This window comes from Homo sapiens, chromosome 12 (genome assembly GCF_000001405.40).
Source record: "Homo sapiens chromosome 12, GRCh38.p14 Primary Assembly".
In the NCBI taxonomy this organism is placed as follows: domain Eukaryota; kingdom Metazoa; phylum Chordata; class Mammalia; order Primates; family Hominidae; genus Homo; species Homo sapiens.
In genome coordinates, this window is record NC_000012.12 from 68,493,651 (window position 1) to 68,516,656 (window position 23,006).

Consider the following 23,006-nt stretch of genomic DNA (forward strand, 5'->3'; position numbering starts at 1 on the left):
GAGCAATTTGAATTCTGAGTAGAAGCAAACACATGAAAATGTTATTTCACTTTTTATTATTTATTTATTTAAACACCCTATTTCACTTTTTTTCTTTTATTCAAAGTGACTCACTTTTGTCCAGTTACCGACTTTCCAGAAAATATCGCCAGTACTGGAAGCTAAGATTGGACTATTTTACTGCTGTACATAAGCAAAGCCTTAATCTGGCTTTAAGGCTCAAAGAAAGATTCTACAGGTAATAATTACAGACAAATGGTGCCCCCAAAAAAAAGATGTTTTGACACTGCTAAGAATAAGCGTGCGTGGGTGCCTCCTCTGTGTCAAGCACAATACAGGGGAAGAAAACTGATTCACTAGTCAAAGAGTTTTGGGTGTGAATCCCAGCTCAGCCACTAACTATGTGAGCTTGAGAAAATTATTAAACATCTCTGAACATCAGCTTATAAACTTTAAAAATGGAAATAACAGGTACCTCATAGGGTTGTTGTATGCATTAACTATGTTAATGTATTTAAAGACTGCCTGGTACATATTAGTCTCTCAATTAATGGTCATTATCCTCCTAAGCAGGGCTCATCTTATTGAGATGAAATTGTATTGGCTTCTTGTTTACACACACACACACACACACACACACACACACACACACACACACAGAGAGAGAGAGAGAGAGAGAGAGATAAGCATCTCCTCATCTCATTTTCTGGCTTACTTAATAATAAAACTGTCAAAAGAGAAAAGTAAGACAAACTGTATAATGTACAAGAACCGTGGAAACAGTTTCCAAAAACTCTAAATCTGTAAGAATTCTGTTAGGTCAGCAGGTCTGCATCGATTTTACTCATATTTACCAAAGGTTGCTGCCCAATTTTTGCTGCTACTTTTCTTGTCACATCCATATTTTCCTATTACAGATATATTTTATGTTTCAATAACATATATGGGTCCCCACGAGAAACTAAACCAAATGTAATAATGAGCATTGAGGGATATATTTTTCAAACACTGTCTGATTCCTAGGAGGCCCAGAAATTATTTTCGTAACAAAATGAATTTCAATCAACTTGATAACTATTTAGAGAATGCCTACTACATTCAAGACACCAGAGGGATTCAAAGATAAATAAGATACAGTTTGTGTCCTCAAGCAGTTATAATCCAGCAAAAACCTGACATGACCAGCCATGTGCCAGATCTTACTATTCTAACAAACACACTTCATCCCAATGTGGCCTGTTCAATGCATCTCCCAGAAATACTTCAGACAAAATACATTGAAATAAGTATAGGTAATTTTTTAATTCTTTAGACAGATAATCTTGCTCTAAAAAGGTAACAAAACAGGCCAAGCACAGTGGCTCACTGTAATTCCAACACTTTGGGAGGCCAAGGCAGAAGGATCACTTGAGGGCAGCAGTTTTCCACCAGCCTAGGCAACACAGCCAGAACTCAACTCTACAAAAAAAATTTTTTTAATTAACAAGGGGGAAAAAAAAAAAAAGAAAGAAAAAGAAAATTAACCAGGCATAGTGGCACATGCCTGTAGTCCCAGCTACCCAGGAGGCTAAGGTAGGAGTATCATTTGAGTCCAGGAATTCGAGGCTGCAAGTGACCTATGATTAGGCCACTGCATTCCAGCCTGGGCGACAGAGTAAGACTCTGTTTCTTAAAAAATAATAACAATAAAAAAATTTAACAATAAAAGATAACAAAACAAAATACTATCTGAATTATCACTTGTGACTGACGCTGTTGTTTGAATTCACCAGGTAATTCCTCAATTATCCTTTTCTATATAGATATCACTGTTATGTATGAGATCATAGCAGAGAAGCTCTGGCAAGGTAATTTGCAGAATGAAGTATTTCCTATTTTGTACCAAACATGATGACATTTAAGCTACTCAAGGGAAATATATTTTTACACTGTGCGAGATACTCTGTGTTAAGAATTTTTATGTGGTACACTAGGTAAATTCCATGTAAAATAATTTTCCCTAAGAAATAAAATGTTCACAAAGATTCCCTTGTCTGATTTTATTTTAAATCTCAAAAGGTTAATCCAAAATTTGACCTTATAAACAATACCAGCACATAGTAAGCCAAACACTTGCAAAAGAATGTTGTTCTCCAGTGTGCTAAGAACTCTGGGAGTGAGAAGGAATAGGGCATCATTTCCTTTACCTCACTAGGGAACTATTTATAGTCCAGCATTCTAATGAAAACCCTCGTGACCTGGAAAAGTTAATGTGCCTTTCAAAGTGTCTTATTTATATCCAGGGAATAACTCAGGATCACATCCAAGATGTAAACATGTGTTTTTCTCTCTCTCCCTCTCTCTCAGCTCATGCACTTATCTCATTCAATATGAAAGCAAGAAAGAGTTTCAGTCTATATTTATTTTAGTTCTCACTTTACACAGTTGATGATTGAAGATATTGCAGAAGACTAGCGTTTCACTAGAAACATCTTTAGGAAAATGATGGACCAAATTTTGGAGATACTTACAATCTACCAAAAAAAAATAAATCATGGCATTTCTCTTCTTAAAACTTAATGAAATTCAAAGGTTTTATCTGAAGAAAAATCAGTAAAATGGGAAATACAGTCCAAAATAACTTTAAATGTCAGTTATATATACTTATGTTATTTAAATAATAATGTATTATTGACATAAGTGTATATCATAGTTGACAAGTTCTTTTCTTTTCTAGGTGTCCACTTGGGCTTCATTCCCTTCCAGGAGATCCTCCTGACTCTCTTAGACTAGCTTAAATGCCCTTTCGTGTACTCCTTGTCTTAGCAATTCTTGCCTGGCAAGAATTCTGTAAGCTAGGTATAGTTTTGATCACTATTTTACAGGTAAGAAAATTGAGTCCAGAGAAACTGAGCAACGTGTCTAGACAAGATTACGAAGCTGAACCAGGAACCAAACTCCGATTGAATGATTCCAAACCCAATACTCTGGCTGCAGATCTATTGAGTGGACTTGTCTTCCACTTTAACACTGCATTTACCAAACATTAAGAAAGTAGGAAGATAAGCAATTATCTGTTGACTTTGGGTAGTAAATATGGAGCATTGGATAATTATGATAATAAGGTCTTGAGCATTAGTGTGTGCCAAGCACTTGGCTAAGTGTTTATGTTCATTCTTTCATTTCATTCTAACAACATCCAGTGAGATAGAAATGATGAGTATTCCCCTCCACCAATTTTTACAGTTAAAGAACCTGAGGCTCGAGGAAGGTAAATAATTTGCTCAAGGTCACACAACTAAAAGGAGACAGAACCAGGCTCTGTACCCAGGTTGTCTAACTCTGAGTCCACTTGCTTAACCACCATACATATTGCCTAATCCAAGCCCCATCCCACCTCCCGCTTCTCCTTAGATACGTATTTAAGAGGGTAAGTGTAAACTACAAGATGAGGGCTGCCCCTCATTTATCATAATAACTGCTGAATTCTCCCTTTTTTCCTAATATGTATAGGTATATGCTAAGACTTTTTTTCAGACTTGCGTTAGAATTCCGGTCCAGCCACTTACTAGATGAATGACTTTGTTCACATTACTAAATCTCTCTGAAAATACAAGTTGAGTAATTTGCAGTTTCTGTTTCTCCATTTGACAAAAAAAGATGATAGAACCCAACCAGCAGGATGGTTGCACCTAAAGTGAAATCCTGTAATGGAAACTTCCTAGTACAGAGCTTAGTAGGCAGAAGTAATTCGACAAATACCAGACCCATCCCCTTCCCTCCCCTGAATGATAGCTTTAAATGTAGGTATTAATCAAGTACCCACCGGATAAAGAGAAACTTTCATTTACTAACTCAGTCATTCACCTCAAAATATTGTTGACTTCTCTTGAATCTCTCCAGTTAAAGGAATTTTAAGATTACAACGTCCCAAAATTCGTTTTTCTGTCCTACATCTGGATGGCAACAGCTCCTTGAACACTTTTCTCTTGGTTTTTACAAGTGTGCAAATCTATCCATATTTTAAATGTAGTATCTACTGATGATAGATACGTACTCTAATTCCACAAATGTCTACTAGGTGCCTCCTTTGCCAAGAACCCTTCCTGACCCCAAGAAGTTCATAGTTTATTGGGTAAAAAAACACATGACTAGCTAAGACACTATGTAATAACGGTGCCATAACAAAGGCATGTACCAACCTCCATGGGAGCAATTAATCTTGCTCGAGGTTTTGAGGACTAGTTCACAGAAGAGGTGACATTTGAGTTCAGCCACAAAGAATGAGTCAGCTTCTCCGAGAATTAATGAGCATTCCAGCATCACAGGCAAATTTCAAGCAGTATATCTTGTTAAAACTGTGACCACAAGAATGTCCCATCATAGAAACTTTTCTCCTTTTGCTTGGTCCAGATTATTAAAGACAAAACAGTCATGATGACTTTCAGGGTTAATCCACTAAAGTCACTCAACGATGGTTTTACAAAGCAAATGTGTGGTATTTAAGTTTCCCAAAGACGCCATCGTGTAGCACTTAGGATTCCGAACAACGCAAGTTTCTCCTTTGAGAGCTCATATATAATGAATGTGTGTTACATTAAAGATTACTGAAGATTGTAAACCTTCTTTTTTGCATGTGTAAGATTGGTAGCTTTTAAAATATTGATGCATTTGTGTAAATTACCCAACTTGAATTTTACAACAAATTCAGAAAAGAAAATGTCAAAGTTGGACAAATTTTAAATGAACTCTCTATGAAAATAAAAAAAACTTCTTAAATAATATTTTGAGATGAATTGGTCTACAGAGCTCATCTTGGATTTCAACATGTATGTAGCTGAAGGGTACAGAAATGAATTGGCTATGAAGACTTAGGAAAAGTTTCAAGGTTTAACTATCTTTGCCTTGTTCTGTATGTAACCCATGTTTTCCTACTTTTTGTCCTTAATCACTCTGTGAATATTTTCCGTAAATAAATCTGATTCTCATCCACATAGCACCTGCTATTCTCTCTTCTTCTGTGGCCTCCATCCTTTGGTTGCCACCATTTCCAGCAGGTGCTGACATCTCCTACCACAGCTGATGCCATGGAGCCCTCAGAGTGGCAAGGTGTCTCGGTATTGTGTTGCATAGTTGGAAAGAAGTTCTCGCTTCCCTTCTTTTTTCTTGGCTTACTCTAGCTTAGGGCAGGAGGTCCAAGGCAGATGTCCTTGGACCCCAGGGATGGACAACGCTGTCAGTGCAAGTTTTACTCACAACCTTCCCATGCTCCCTCTACAGGATGCAGATGTCCCTCCCTGAGCCAGAGACAACCTGAGTGACAGCCCCAAACCCCTTCCCTCCAATGATCGAAGCTTTGTTTTGGGATCCAGCTGCTTCTGCCTAGCTGCCTTGCCCCTCTGGACAAGTCCTCACCCAAGAAGCCCTGGGACTATCACATAGAGACAGCCTGGTATGCCATTTCCCAGATATGGCCAAACTACTATGGACTTCAGAGACACACCTGGCTTGAGATTATAGGATTCTTGATCTTATTCCTACTTGCTTCAGTTATTGATGAAAATAGGCTGAGCCTCATAACAAATGTTGGAGAATGCTTATGTTCACTTTTATTTGGTTAAGAATGAATGAATAAATGGATGAATGAAAGGATACGAGTCCTATTAAAGCTGTAAACTTTCCCCAAGTGAATGTTTGGTAGCAGTGTTCTATCTCTGCGACCACTATGCCCTGTTCACTTTTACGGTTTTAAATATTTTATTCATTTACCTCAAGAATAGTAACAGCTAACATTGATATCACATCTTACAAAGCCTTTTCCATGTATGTTCCTTTATTTCATTTTTAACCTGTGAAACAGGTATTACCATGATCTCCATTTTCTACAGGAGAAAATTAAGCAGACTTCCCCACTTCCCCATTCTCATCCTTTGCTTTTGCTACTAAATTTTACTAATCTTTCAGCCACACCTAAGACATCATTTTCTCCATGAAGACTTACCTAACTATTGGCCTGGAGAAGCAGGTTCTGTTCCCTGCTCCAGTACAGCCAGAGTGTCAGTTAATCAGAGGGGACCTGGCACAGTCAGGGCCTCCCAGACCAATTACCTTAAGATTTGAGCTATCCTATTAATTGTCCCCAATGCTGTGTATGAGTAATAACATTATTATAACCACACATTTTTTCCATGTGTGCCAGAATGTGGAAAAGGCTAAGTAACACCACCGTGAAGGAATGGCTAAGAGCATGGCTTTTAGAGGCACATATTAGCTATATGATCTTCAACAGCTATGAACCTATCTGGGTGTTAGTTTCCTCATCTGGAAAATAAAAATAACAATAGCAAACACTTACACAGCATTTACTACCATGTAGGTTATCTCTTTTACTGTTCACAATAGCATAAGGTAGGAACTATCATTCTTCCCATGATACAGAGAGGAAATAGGCACAACAGTGGTCATGTTTGAACTTGACGTGAATGATATAAGACCTGTAATTAAAGCCCAAGCCCATGTTTGCAACTACTATATTACATGAACAAACCTTCCTCATACGGTTGTTATAAGAGCTAAATTTGATAATCCATGTGTAAGTGATGCTCTTGTCCCAGAATTGTAACCAAAGACCAAAACCACCAGGTACCCCTTCCATGGCCATGCAGGGTTTACTGAGAGGTATCAATTCAGAAAACTCTCCTTACCTCCCACTATCATCCTCCACCACCTCCACTGCCCCAGTCAACATAAAGGCACTGGCATGCCTGCCTCTACATAACCAGAGCAGAGGAAATAGCTTTGAGGAGACAGATGTTGTATTTGTACTGCTGAGGGAGGGGCTATCAGTTCCACTGTCTCCTCTCCTAGTAAGATGGAGTCTGCACTTGTCCATGGTCTCATGAATTGGCTGGCCACAGAAGGTGGCTGGAAATGGGAGCTATATCTCACCATAACTGGCATTGCACAGTGGCAAAGAGGCACTTGTATCAAAGTATTGCAGCATGATACCACTGTGTGGATGAGGGAGGTCGGCGGCAGAGGATGACTAAATTTTACAAGGGATCAGCAGGGCTTAAAGAAACTGCATCGGCATGGGCCTCTCTGTGATAGGATATGTCAAAGCCCCCTCCTGTCCTCACTTATGTCATATGGGAACGATGTTGCTTTCCTTAAGGGATTGTCATGAAAATTAAATGAGATAATGTGCATGAGATTCCGCAAAATGGTCCCACGATTAATGTTAGCTCCTTCACCACACTCTTGCTACCCAGTGTTTAAAGCTTGGGTAAATACTTTGAGTATGAGAAAAGATGGGTAGCTTTTCATAATGTCAGATTCAACCTAAAAAGAAAAATCTCTGTTTGCAGACTTCTATCTCCCTGGATTACTAAGTAGACCTGAAATTTATTAACCTTTTTACTCATTTGTGAGCACCAGCGTAAGAGGACTTTTTTGAATAATCAAGAAACCTCATTCCGGTGGGCAAATAAAAGGAGGCCAGGTGTTTGGGATTAAAAATGCATTATCCCCACCACTGACTTTCTGGGGATGGTGTCAAGTATTTGCTCTCTCATAATATGTACTATTTCTAGAGTAGAAAAGGAGGAGGGAAACATGTACAGAGATGATAAGAGGAATTTAGGGAAAATGGGGATAGTCGGAAACATGGAGGGTGAAAGTAGCAGAGAGAGGACGGAGAAGCATCCTATTTTTAACCACTTATAGTCGTCTTCCCTCTCCTTAAAAACAGGTCTTCTTCCTGCCCACAGTGAACTGAGTAAGACAATATCTGGGGCTCCATAAGGCCATCTGTGTATCTATTTGGAGCCACTGATATTTGTGTCTTTGTGGCAAAGCTGGGCTGGCTTTTTTAACACTAGATACACAACCACCAAATTCTCCAGAGCTGTTTTTAAGAAAATTGTCCCCATCCAAACTATCAGGTTTTTAAAATTAGCACAATAAAGCTATTTTATAATAACAATGTGAATAAGTAATTCCCAATTTGTGACTCATGCATAAAAAGCAAAGGAGGCTATTTTCTTGAAGTAAAACTAAGATATTTCTGTTAATAATATTAACAGCATAAATATATATTGATGTGTGCTTTCTGTGCCAGGCACCATGCTAAGCTCTTAACACGCACGGGACCCCTTTTGCAGAGGAAGAAATTAAGGCTTAGTAGGTTAAATAACCAGATCAGAGCCACAGAACTAATGGTAGAATTAGAAATCAAACCAAGGTCTACCTGCAAACCCTGAACTCTTAACCTCTGCCCTGTTACCTGCTTTAGAAACTTTTAGTGGCTGTCACTTCATCACCCAGGCCAAGCTCTTACATGAGTGAAGGAAGAAATCTAGCTCATGGAAGGCCGGGCACGGTGGCTTACGCCTGTAATCCCAGCACTTTGGGAGGCCAAGGCAGGTGGATCACCTGAGGTCGAGAGTTCAAGACCAGCCTGATCAATATGGAGAAATCGTGTCTCTACTAAAAATACAAAATTAGCCAGGCGTGGTGGTGCATGCCTGTAATCCCAGCTATTCGGGAGGCTGAGGCAGGGAGAATTGCTTGAACCTGGGAGGCAGGAGGTTGCAGTGAGCCAAGATCATGCCATTGCACTCCAGCCTGGGCAACAAGAGCAAAACTCCGTCTCAAAAAAAAGGAAAAGAAAAAGAAATCTAGCCCATGGGAAAGGCAAGAGCTAAGATATGGCATCAGTTGCTATAGAGAGGAGGATTTGAATGTTTTGCATTGAAGGGTTTGTTGTATTGCAAACAAGCCCATCAAACTTTGTATACAACAAGCCTATGCTTGAGGTGCACCATGAGGCCATTCAGAGGTTCAAGTATTACTTTGGAAAAGGCTTCTGTAATTTTAGAGTTTAACAATGTGAAATTAGACCTAGAATCCTCAAACAAATTCATTTCAAAACTACAATACCCTTGGAAATGAGCACTTCCATTAGATTTGAGACCATTATGTGTCCATCTCTGTGTGAGGGAAATAGATGCTTTTACATCAGAACGAATACAAAATATCAGTACATTTTCATTCAGTACAATTTCCTAAGTTCCTTTTATCCAATTTCCCAATTTTGTCAGATATATGAAGCTGAAATAAAGCTCTCCTTTTAACCCAGTTTCTTGTTCACCTTAACTCTCCAACAAAATTATTCTTAGATTTTATCTCAAACTATTTCTTAGACAGGGATTGGGTTTTATTATGTCATCATGGGATCAAAAAATACAAAGAAATATTTCACAAACAGAATTTTGTTATTTTTCTCTACTATATAGGCATTACGACCTATGCCATTTTGCTCAAAATGTGAGTGTACACATTGTAACAGGGGTCCAGTCCACGACCTGTTAGGAACCGGGCCACACAGCAGGAGGTGAGCTATGGGTGAGCCAGCATTACAGCCTGAGCTCTGCCTCCTGTCACACCTGTCACTTCAGTGGTGGCATTGGATTCTCATAAGAACACGAACCCTACTGTGAACTGCGCACACAAGGGATCTAGGTTGTGCACTCCTTACGAGAATGTAACCAATGCCTGATGATCTGAGGTGGAACGGTTTCATCCCGCAACCCTTTTCCCACTACTCCAATATTTCATAGAAAAATTGTCTTCCACAAAACTGGTTCCTGGTGCCAAAAAGGCTGGGGACTGCTGCACTATAAGAGTGATCATTAAGCAATTGCAAATCTACTACAAGGAATAGCTACTGATACTTAGGTAATGAAAAATGTCACTAGAGATCATAAGTATCAAAAGATACTTGTGACAGCTTAAGACATCAAGCAAACTAAATATAAGAGAAATACTCACCCAGTCTTATGTGAATGAAGATTGCATGCACCACAATTAGGAAAGGTTTCATATTTTTAAGCACAGTGAAACGTTTTCAATCCTTTGGACAGTATTTAAAAACTCTTCAGTTAAACATATTTATCATTACTACTTACAAGACATTCTCCAAGATGCCATTGGGGTACCAGGATAAATAATAAATATATGGGTCACTACCTTCAAGAATCTCTCAGCTTATAGGGGAGGTAAGAAACGTGTTTGTAAGCCGTAACATAGAGTGATGAGTACCGTAAAGAAAGATGCAAAGCGTTGTGGGAGTTCAGATCCCATCTGGTGAGGGGATGAGAAGATGGTGGGCAGCTCATGTCAGGGTGACAAAATGCCCAAGAAAAGCTAACATCTATTCAGGAAACAGTCTCCTTTAACTGGAATTTAAGATGTCACTAGGAGATACAGCTGGAAGTTTAGGCTGAGACCAGGTCCAAGGATTTGAAGGTTATCAGTTGGAGAAATGCAGATTCAGTAGGTATAACCAATATTTCACACGTTACCTATTTTTACATGTTTACAATATCTCTTTTTTAACACCACTTTATTGAAACATAACTGACATAAAATTAACTGTTTAAGTGTAAAATCTGGGCCAGGGTGGTGTCTCACGCCTGTAATCTCAGCACTTTGGGAGGCCAAGCTGGGTGGATCACTTGAGCTCAGGAGTTCAAGACCAGCCTGGCCAACATGGCAAAACTTCATCTCTACTAAAAATACCAAAATTAGCTGGGCGTGGTATCATGTGCCTGTAGTCCCAGCTACTCGGGAGGCTGAGGTGCAAAAATCAAAATCTCTTGAACCTGAGAGGCAGAGGCTGCAGTGAGCCGAGATTGTGCCACTGCACTCCAGCCGGGGCGACAGAGCAAGACTCTGTCTCAAAAAGAAAAAAAAGAGAAACTGTAAAATCTGATAAGTTATGACATATGTATACACCCATGAAAACATCACCACAATCAAGATAATGAATATATCCATCAACCCCCAAAATGTCCTCATACTCCTTGGAATCTTTCCCTTCTGCCCCATCCCCAGGCAACTGCTGACCTGCTTTCTGTCACTATAGCTCAGTTTGCATAGAATTTTATATAAATGAAATCATACAGTATAGACTCTTTTTAGGCTGGCTTTTTACATTCCATGATTTTTGGAGATTCATCCATGTTGTTGGGTGTATCAGTAGTTTGTTCCTTTTTACTAATGTGTAATATTCCATTGTGTTGATGCCCCACAGTTTGTTTATTCATACACCTCTTTGATAGGTACTTGCAGTGTGTCCAGTTTTTGGCTCTTACAAATGAGGCTGCTATCTATATTCACGTACAAGTCTTTGTATGGACGTATGTCTTCATTTCTCTTTGATAAATACCTGGCCATAAAATGCCTGGGTCACATAGTAGGTTAATTAATATTATACTTTTCAAATAACTTCCAAACAATTTGCCAAAGTGGTTTACCACTTTATATTTTTACCAGCAGGTTATGAGAATTCCAGTTGTTCCACATCCTTGCAAATGCTTGGGGTAGTCATCTTTATTTTTATTTTAGACATTCTAATAGATATGTAATGATATCTTACTGTGGCTTTAATTTGTATTTCCTCAATGACTAACAATGTTGGATGTCTTTTTATGTTTTTATTTGCCATTCTTATAGCTTCTTTCATGAAGTGTCAAATTCAAAGTGCGCTAATCTTTTGCCCATTTTAAACTATTGTTATTATTACTCAGATTTTAAAGTTCTTTATACATTCTAGATACAAGTGCTTTATCAGTTATGTGATTTGCAAATATTTTCTCCCAGTGTCGGCTTGTCTTTCCATTCTCTTAACAGTGTCTTCCAAAAAGCAAAAGTTATTAATTTTAATGAGGTCTAATTTATCCATTTTTTAATGGCTCATGTTTTTGGTGTTGCATCTAAGAAATTTTTGCCTAGGCTGGGCATAGTGGCTTATGCCTGTAATCACGGCGCTTTGGGAGGCTGAATCGCCTTTATACCTTTGTCAAAAATCAGTTGACCATATGTGTTACGTGTAGGTCTATTTCTGAACTCTTTATTCAGTTCCATTGATCTATTTGTCTACCTTGATACCAATAATACATTGTCTTGATTATCATAGTATTATAATATGCCTTGAAGTCAGGTAATTTAAGTCCACCAATTTTGTTCTTTCATTTCAGATTGCTTGGGCTATTCTAGGTCCTCTGCATTTCCATCTAAGTTTTAGAATCAGTTTGTCAATTTCTACAACAAAAAAAAACCTGCTTAGATTTTTATTTGGATTAAATCTACATATTAATTTAGAGAGAACTGCTACCTTAACAATATTAAGACTGAGTAATTAATATTATTATTTGGTCTTCCAATCTGAAAACACAGTATATCTCTCTATTTTGGTCTTTAATTTCTCTCAGCAATGTTTTGTAGTTTTCCATGTACAGGTCTTTCAAGTATTTTTATCAGATTACTCTCCATATATTTCATATTTTTGATACTATCTCAAATGGTTATTTCAATTTCTTATTTATTGTCAGCAGATAAAAATACGATTGATTTTTATGTATGATCTTGTATTCTGCAACCTTGCTAAAGTCACTTTTAGTTCCAGGAATTTTTTTTTGTAGATTGCATCATGTTTTCTATTTAAATAATCATGTTATCTGTGAATAGAGTTTCACTTCTTCCTTTCCAAGCTGAATGCTGTTATATCTTTCTTACATTATTTCAGTAAAAATGTGACTACAAACTTCCAGAGGCCCTTCCAAAGAGAATAAAGTCACTGATTCATCATCACTGCCATCACTGTTGGCAAGAATTCTTCAAAAGCAAGTGAAAATTGTTCCCCCTCAGTATTAGACAGCTATGGAAATCCTAAGAAACTTCTGTACTGGGCTCTTAAATTACCCCTCCCATGAGTTTGGTCCCTAGTCTATACACAGCTTGTATTAGTCCGTTTTCATGCTGCCAATAGACATACCCAAGACTGGGTAAGTTATAAAGAAAGGGGTTTAATTGACTCATAGTTCCACATGGCTGGGGAGGCCTCACAATCATGGCAGAAGATGAAGGAAGAGCAAAGGGATGTCTTACATGGTGGTGGCAAAGAGAGAAAATGAGAGCCAAGAAAAGGGCTTTCCCCTTATAAAATCATAAGATCTCATGAGACTTATTCACTACCACAAGAACAGTATGGAGGAAACCGTTCCCACGATTCAATTATTCCCCACCAGGTCCCTCCCACAACACGTGGGAATTATGGGAGCTACAATTCAAGATGAGATTTGGGTGGAGACACAGCCAAACCATATCACACCTACACATGTCTATATACACACACAGCATTTTTCCAAAGTTTCTTCTCTTAAGGGCAGATAGCATTAGTTGCGGATGCTTACTTGCTGTACCAAACCCATTGTGAAGCCAGGCCTCCTCACTCCCATTCTAATGCCCTTAGGGGTATGACTTGGGTTACCACTCCAAATTCTCTTTTCTCTTGTGGTGAGTTTCTCCTCAAAAGCACCTGATATCTTTTGTTAAATGATCTCAGTTGGATCCATCTTAATCTATTGATATTATAGTAATAATTTTAAACTTCAAAAGGCAAGTGTCAGTGTTTTACCCACTACTTCCCAGAAGGCTCCTTAGACCTTATGCAAATATACCCATGGAGGGTTATTGTTCTTGTTGTCATTATCGCTGTGGTTGTTGTTTTACAGTCTCCCAGAAGGACAGTATTTGTCAATATAAGACAAAAGTTCTGTTACATACCTTCCCCTGAACAATGGTAACTTTGGACATCACTTCTACCTGAAAGAGACCTTCGAGCAATTCTTCTCAGGTAAAAGGGTATCTACTCCAAGGAAATTTGTAAATTCCAGTGCTAGAGGCCTGGCACAGCGGCTCAAGTCTGTAATCCCAGCACTTTGGGAGGCCAGGGTGGGAAGATCACCTGAGGTCAGGAATTCAAGACCAGTCTGGCCAACATAGCAACCCTGTCTCTACTAAAAATGCAAAACAATTAGCCAGGCATGGTGGCAGTTGCCTGTAATCCCAGCTACTCCGGAGGCTGAGGCAGGAGAATCACTTGAACCTTGGAGGCAGAGGTTGCAGTGAGCCGAGATCGCGCCACTGCACTCCAGCTTGGGTGACAGAGTGAGACTTTGTTTCAAATAAATAAATAAATAAGTTCTAACACTAGAAAAAAAAAGGAACTGACGACTTTGAATTCATACTTTATCCTAATTTTTAAAAATTATTACAGCTTAGTTTCACTTGGCACCCCCCTACCAAAGTTTTCACAAAGGTGAGATGAATGTTTTAGGAAAATGAATATACCAGTGATTTGAAGGATAAATGAGAGTTAGAAAGTTGCATCAGGAAAATCAGTTATGTGACTATTATAATAATCTAATTCATATATAATAAAGATGTGGCCTAGAGATAACAGCAATAATGGAAAGAAAATGATGAATGTGTGAGATTTTTAATCAAGGGATTAAATAAGATTTGGAGAGTGAATCATTGTAGAGAACAAACAAGGTAGGCGTCAAAGACGAATACATTTTGAAGAAAATTGTAGCATACTGTATTAGTCCCTTTTCATACTGCTATGAAGAAATACACAAGACTGGATAATTAATATTTTTTTAAAAGGGGGGTTTAATGCACTCACAGTTCTACCTGGCTGGGGAGGCCTCACAATCATGGTGGAAGGTGATGGAGACACAAAAGCACATCTTACACGGCAGTCAGCAAGAGAGCATGTGCAGGGGAACTGCTCTTTATAAAACCATCAGATATCATTAGACTTATTCACTCCCACAAGAACAGCATGGGAAAACCTGTCTCCATGATTCAATTACCTCCCACCAGGTTCCTCCCAGATATGTGGGGATTATAGGAGCTACAATTCAAGATGAGATTTGGGAGGAGACACAGTCAAACCATATCACACACCTTTAGGAGAAAATGGTTAGTACATAGGAGAATATGATATTGGACAAGTCTGGGTAGAAGGGTAATCAGTCAGATGCTAGTCATGGTGAGTCTGGTTCAAGTGTTCAGAGGTGATAACGATTATTGAAAGAAGGTTGGGTAGTGGGTTCTAGTTGTGACACTGCCACAAACTCACTGTGAGACAGTGGCAGACACTGTCGAAGCCTACCCAACACCCATTTCTCACTGCACCTTCCTCTTTTCTAATCTAAGAATCCAGATTTAGCTTCTGCATCCACCTAAGTTGGTAGTGCCATATGCTTCAGAGGAGATGAGACTCAGACTCCAAGGGTGAATTCTAATCAGTCTGAGTCAATCACATGTCCCACTCTCAGAGCATGTCACAAATCTGGCCAATGAGGCATGAAGGAAAGTCGGCTGTGTGCTGCAGAGTAGTGTACACTCACTCATAAAAGGAGCCATACAGGAAGAGATGGCCTCTCCTTTCATTGTCAGGTCTGGCTGAGACACCAGGAACTGCTGAGGCCATCTAACCTCCAGGAGCTGGCCTGTAGAAAGACCAATGTGCTGACGGTGGCAGCCCAGGAAAGCAACCTGAGCCCTTGATGTTGTCATTAAACTGCTACATTAACCAACCCTAGTATACCATAGTCTTGTACTTCTTGTTGTGGAAGATCATACACTTAAGCCAATTGCATTGGGATTCCTATTGTTTGAAACTGAAGCCTTCCTTACTGACCAAGCAGCCTTGGCTCAAATCAATTTACTCTCCACACCACCATTTCCTTCACTGTAAATTGAGAGTGATCTCTCTAAGAATGCTTCCAGCCCTAACCATCCATGATTTTATTATTACAAGTAGAAATAGTTGTGCAGCCGTCTGTTAAAAAGGAAGAACGAACCTGTAGAGAAAGGCCAAAACAAAAATACAGATATAAAAGTCATCTGCTAAGTGTAAGGCTTACAGTCTGGGCGGGGGAAAGTGATGCTAATTTTGCTGATTGCTAAATATGTGAATGATATCACTTTGTTTTATTCTTACAACATTCTGCAAAGCTGACATCATTACATTTTCTATGAGCAAACCAAGGCACAAATGTTAAGAAAAGTACAATGTTTCTGAAGGTAAGAGACTGTCAAGATTTCAACAGGTCACGTGTTTCAGACAGATCAAGAAGAATGAAGTCTAAAAATTAAATGCCTCGATGATTAGGAGGTTCTTAATGCTTTCAAAATAACAGTTTCTGGAAAGCCACAGGGGTGAAAGGAGCAGGTAAAAAGCGGGAGATGTTAAGGATGTGAAGACCACTTTTAGCAGAAGTTTAGCAGTCAAAGAAAAGGGAAAGATAAAACGGCACTTCAAGGGAACAGCAAGTTTGAGGGGAATATAGCTTGTCTTATTTCTTGTGCATAAAGTAGAAAAAGACTCAAGCACATTGATGGGCCAAGGGAAAGAAATCAATGGAGGAGGAGAGCTGCAGGTGCAGGAGAAGAAGGGCCTTACTGAGAGAGCAAGATCTGGAGGACCCGGGAGAAGATTTGCTCTTTGCCTCCTCTGTGCTGTTGTCTGCTCTTTGAGCTCCAGTTGAGGCAAGGGCTCTGAGGCAGATCGATGGGCAGACTGAGCTGATGTAATCACTGCTATAAGGTATTAATAATGAATGAATGTGATTTCTTTTATGCCTTATTTTTAATAGCTTTTTATAAAAGGACCATTGGAAAGAGATCAATTTGTCTTTCCAAAGTTTATTTTTAAATGCATAATTAATACATAAAAGTATCACTGTACAATAAAGACCAATATTTACCTCATTCTTCTAACAGAGTATGGCCTAGAAGAAGAAAAAGATGAAAATGGTTTTATGCTGAGCTCCAAATTTCACTGTGGAATTACCTAGACCTACATTAAAGAAAGTTCAAATAGAATAATAGTAGTTACATTTTAATAAGAACTTACCATATTCCAGCCCTGTGCTAAGTACACATTTCTTATACAGTATCTTATTTAATCCTTATAACCCTCTGTGAGATAGGTGTTATTAACTTACACTGAAGAAACTGAGACTCATAAGTTATCTCCCCAAGATCCATCTACCGCACTATTCTATACCAGTGTCCATAAATAAAACCATTATTCATATAGCCTGAGGTTAACTATGTTCTAGGAAGTGCTAGCTCCTTCCTAATCTCATAGCAGCCATGTGAGGTGTCTGTTTTTATTATATTTGTTACAGATGCACATACAAGGGCCAGAAAACCAGCTGTGGGATTCTAGAGCCCATCCTTTCAACCAATATGCTATGGTGCCTACAAAGATTTTTTAAAATAAAGTCAAAGAAAGTCTCTTTAATTTAAAAATGGCTTTACAGAATCTTGTAACATATTCAGCAAGTAGGAGCCAAATCCCCAATTCCCTGAAAGGAATAAAATATACTGTAAATTTCCAAAGATAAGTATGTTGCCTCTAGCATATAAGCTTAGTACTGTAGTTTAAATCTGAGTCAAAATTGAATGCCAGTCATGAGACAATAAAGTATAATATGTTAGTACTTTTCCCCTTTATAAAATAGTCCGTAGCTGATGTTCCAAAGGAAAGAATGTGCTTGTTCTATGGTGCAATTCACTATTAGCTTTCAAGGACACATTGACTCAAGTCTTTAAAAGGCCCTAGCTCATCAGCTTTCTCTGAATTCTAAAGTAATAGCTAGACTAGAGACAGTGCAAAATATCTTTTTGCAAACCAATGTCATTGTTCCTTAGTAAAAGGGAGAAACATTACATTTAAAAAAACTTCTGGAGCCATACTGCCTCGGTGTGAATCTAGGCCCTGTCATTTACTTACCTGTGTGACTTTTGGAGCTTTTCTTACCCTCTCTGTGCCTCATATCCTCAACTGTGAACGGGGGGATATAATGATGATTAAACGAGTTAACACACGCAGAGCTGGGCACATGGTAAGCACAATATAAATGATAGCTACTGTTACAGTGGGATGTTTATAAAGCAGTACTTGTGGTAGCTGTGTTTTCAGTTTACCCTTGCCTGGCTACATAAATAAAAATTACAACTTTTCTTCAAGACATGTTTTCAGTATTGTCCTGGAGCATTCTTGCAGGGAATGCTCCTCTTTGGAAGTCTTTTTCCAACTCTCTTGCAATCAGGACCTGCTACATGAATTGCAGGGCCCAGTGAAAAACAAAAATGCAGGACTCCCTTGTTCAAAAATTATTAAGAATTTCAGCCGGGCACGGTGGCTCACGCCTGTAATCCCAGCACTTTGGTAGGCCGAGGAGGGTGGATCACGAGGTCAGGAGTTCAAGACCAGCCTGGTCAACATGGTGAAACCCCGTCTCTACTAAAAGTACAAAAATTACAGTGGGCCTGTAATCCAAGCTATTCAGGAGGCTGAGGCAGGAGAATCGCTTGAACCTGAGGGGGTGGAGGTTGCAGTGAGCCAAGACCGCGCCACTGCACTCCAGCCTGGGTGACAGAGTGAGACTCCATCTCAAAAAAAAAAAAAAAAAAGAATTTCAAGATGGCAATAGCCACATCTTAAATTCAGCGTGGAGTCCTCTAAGTGCAGAATTCTGTGTAATGACGCAGGTCACATGCCCATGAAGCCAGCCTTACATGGCATTGTTTCTCTGTTTTTGGAAACAGAGAGCTCTCTAACTTCAGTCAGTTATTTATTTATTGGAATATCTGTTTTGAACCCTACCTTGTCCAGGAAAAGATTTAAGGTAACTCCCTTTCTCTGGAAAGCATCTGAGAATTAGAATGTTCTTAGGAAAACCAACTTCTTGTTCTAAGGGAGATTTTTTTCTGTGTCATTGAACACAGCAGCTCTCCTGGAGTATGGAAAAGTCTTTGAGTTCATAAGGATTCATTCTGCTCAATAATAAGCATAGAAATCTTTTCCTGGACTGGGAATTGCCCCAGCTACCTTTCAGCAGGAGCAGAACATCAGTGAAGCCTGAGGCATAGGGCAACTTCTACCTTCAACCAAGAGCCTGAGTCCTAAAATAGCAACTCAAGGTTTCTGCTCCCCTTGAGGGAACCAAATGAGTATTTTAAAATGCATTTTCCCTTACAGATTTTCTCAAGTTGGTTGTTAGATCATTCAAGGATGCTCAAGGCTGAAAGGTATTAACGTCAGTTTTGTATCAATATTAGGTTACCAATGTGAAATTGTTTGGCTCTGTGTCCCCATCCAAATCTCATATTGAATTTTAATCCTCATGTACGGAGGGAGGGACCTGTAATCCCCATGTGTTGAGGGAGGCAGGTAATTGGATCATGGGGGCAGTTTCCCCCATGCTGTTCTCGTGATAGTGAGTGAGTTCTCACAAGATCTGATGGTTTTATAAGTGGTGATTTCCCCTGCTCTTCTCTATCCTGCTGCCTTGTGAAGAAGGTGCCTGCTTCCTCTTCCGCCATGATTATAAGTTTCCTGAGGCCTCGCCAGCCGTGTGAATTGTGAGTCAAATAAAACTCTTTCTTTTATAAATTACCCAGTCTCAGTGATTTCTTTATAGCAGTGTGAAAATGGACTAATACTCAATGTTAATAACTATTATCGCCATTGCTTTTGGTGTTTTGGACATGAAGTCCTTGCCCATGCCTATGTCCTGAATGGTAATGCCTAGGTTTTCTTCTAGGGTTTTTATGGTTTTAGGTCTAACGTTTAAATCTTTAATCCATCTTGAATTGATTTTTGTATAAGGTGTAAGGAAGGGATCCAGTTTCAGCTTTCTACATATGGCTAGCCAGTTTTCCCAGCACCATTTATTAAATAGGGGATCCTTTCCCCATTGCTTGTTTTTCTCAGGTTTGTCAAAGATCAGATAGTTGTAGATATGCGGCGTTATTTCTGAGGGCTCTGTTCTGTTCCATTGATCTATATCTCTGTTTTGGTACCAGTACCATGCTGTTTTGGTTACTGTAGCCTTGTAGTATAGTTTGAAGTCAGGTAGTGTGATGCCTCCAGCTTTGTTCTTTTGGCTTAGGATTGACTTGGCGATGCGGGCTCTTTTTTGGTTCCATATGAACTTTAAAGTAGTTTTTTCCAATTCTGTGAGGAAAGTCATTGGTAGCTTTATGGGGATGGCATTGAATCTGTAAATTACCTTGGGCAGTATGGCCATTTTCACGATATTGATTCTTCCTACCCATGAGCATGGAATGTTCTTCCATTTGTTTGTATCCTCTTTTATTTCCTTGAGCAGTGGTTTGTAGTTCTCCTTGAAGAGGTCCTTCACATCCCTTGTAAGTTGGAAGGGGAACATGACACATCAGGGCCTGTTGTGGGGTGGGGGAAGCGGGGAGGGATAGCATTAGGAGAGATACCTAATGTTTAAATGACGAGTTAATGGGTGCAGCACACCAGCATGGCACATGTATACATATGCAACAAACCTGCATATTGTACACATGTACCCTAAAACTTAAAGTATAATAAAAAAAGAAAATAAAAATGTTTCAATGTTATGTACTTGAGAAATCCTATCTAGATTATTAAAAAAGAAAATAAAGTTAGCAAGAAAGTAGATTACTGTGCAAAATTAATTTTTATCTCTGATAAATCAGTGTAGAAATGTTAAATAAAAATAAACCACATTTATTTGCCAAAAAAAAAAAAAAAACTATTATCCAAATGTCCATCAATGATAGACTAGATTAAGAAAATGTGACGCATATACACCATGGAATACTATGCAGTCATAAAAAAGGATGAATTCATGTCCTTTGCAGGGACATAGAGGAAGCTGGAAACCATCATTCTAAGCAAACTATCACAAGGACAGAAAATCAAACACCGCATGTTCTCACTCATAGGTAGGAGTTGAACAACAAGAACACATGGACACAGGGCAGGAAACATCACACACGGGGCCTGTCGGGGGGTCGGGGGCCAGGGGCCGGGGGAGGGAGAGCATTAGGACAAATACCTAACATAAATGACGAGTTGATGAGTGCAGCAAACCAACATGGCACATGTATACCAATGTAACAAACCTGTACGTTGTGCACATGTACCATAGAACTTAAAGTATAATAATAATAATAATAATAATAAAACTATTGAACATTAAGAGAAATGCCAAGTCTTCCTTCTTGAGTTTGTTAGGTTCAAATAGCAAATAAACAGACTATGTATAAGAATTGTGTGTTTTATTTCAAAAACGTACATTGCTTAGCATAGATTTAGCCCATATGTCCTTGCTATGGGGCTATAGAAAGGAGAAACTCAATCCATTAAAGATCCACATATTCACTCAGTCTTCTATGAGCCTTCTTTGAACTGACAGGAGAAAACTACCATTTATTTAATTCATTTGCTCCATTATTTTAACCTAGACACTCTTCAAAACTCTCAGCAGTCTTGAATCTTCAGGAATTGTTTAGAAGTAAGACGACTATGGTCTTTGTAACTACTGGCAGATATTGATAACGTTAAAATTGTAATATCTGCTTAAATCAGCTCATTTTCTCATGTTGCTGTTTATCAGCATTTGGATTTGAGTTGTGGTTGGCTGGGCCAAAGCCAGGAAGCCAGGCAGCCTTGCAATCAGATCACGGACAAAGGCCAGATGTCAGTCACTGAAGCAAAAATAATACAGAATCTTGATTCCAAAGGTAGATCCAAAACTAAGAGGATAAGCAGGATGGAAGAGCCATCCATGTACTGGAGTCAAAGAAAGTCCAAATGCCAGGGTGAGTATTCAAGCAGTGGTGAGGTAGGTAAACAATAGAAAGCAATGTAACATGTGATAGTCTAAGCAAACAGTCCATATATGAATAATGACCCCTGTGCAGGTCAGAACTTACACAACTTGATCAACCTTGCCTCAAAAAAAGGAGTCAGAGGGAAACTAGTATTAAGGATAAAAAGCAGTCTTTGCAAAGATGGTTATATCTGCAGGGAATGTTCTGCAAAACAAGGCAGAAACATGAGTACTGAGGAACTGGAACACAAAGATTAGAGCAGATAATAAGAGAGCTAATGCTACCTTGAGAACCCACTGACCCAGAGCTTTTTATAGTCACCTGCTTAGGAATAAGTTTGGTCCCAGGAGCTGAGCTGGAACAAATCTGCACGTAAAGGAAGTAGCGACAGTGGTGTGCTGGAGCCAATTCATTACCAGCTCATGAGAGCCAATTGTTAAAATTTAAGGAATTTTAAATAAGTATAGCCATTATGAAAAACAGCATGGAATTTCCTCAAAAAAAATTAAAAATAGAACTAACATATGATCCAGCAATCCCACTGCTAGTTATATATCCAAAGGAAAGAAAATCAAAATATCAGTGAGATATTTGCACCCCCATGTTTATCAAAGCACTATTCACAATAGCCAAGATATGAAATCAATCTAAGTGTCCTTCAATGGATGAATGGATAAAGAAAATGTAAAATATTATTTAGTCATAAAAAGAAGGAAATCGTATCATTTACACCAACAAGGATGAGCCCGATGAACATTAAATAAGCCAGGCACAGAAAGACAAATATCTCAACTTCTCACTCATATGTGGGAACTAAAAAAGGTGATGTCATGAAGGTAGAGATAGAATGATGGTTACCAGAGGCTGGGAAGGGAGAAGAAAGGGGGATGAAGACAGGCTGGCCAATAGGTACAAAAATACAGTTAGATAGAAGGAATAAGTTCTAGTGTTCAATAGCACAGTAGATGATTATTGTTATCTATAATTTACTGTACACTTCTAAATAACTAGAAGAAAATATTTGAAATGTTTTCCACCCAAATAAATGATAAATGTTTGAGGTGATGGATATCCCATCACTCTGATTTGATTATTACACACAGTATGCATGTATCAAATATCACATGTATCCCGTAAATATGTACAATTATTATGCGTCAATAAAAATTTAAGGAATTTTGTAAGATAGCTGTTAAACCTGGACATTATTAAAAATTAAATTATATAAACAATTAAAGATTTATATTAAAAACAAAAGTAATAAACACTCAGAAGTCATCATGTCTTAATTATTTCACTACATTTCACTATTATGTGTGCTCCTGAGGCCATTTGTGTCTATTTTAACTGTGGGGTGAAAATATAATGGCATGCTACTGCGCATCCCTTCTTATTTCCACATTCAATAACATCACATTGGCAACTTGAAGTTTGCCATGATAAAAACACGTACACCATGGAAATAAAAAACACTACAAATCAGG

At 38.7% G+C, this 23,006-nt stretch overlaps 1 annotated feature.

Annotated features, from left to right (window-relative positions):
- Positions 15,125 to 15,325: a silencer, noted in NCBI's record as "peak1778 fragment used in MPRA reporter construct". NCBI's record gives its function as "represses an SCP1 promoter by STARR-seq MPRAs in K562 erythroleukemia cells {active_cell/tissue: K562}" and the evidence as "EXISTENCE:reporter gene assay evidence [ECO:0000049][PMID:32103011]".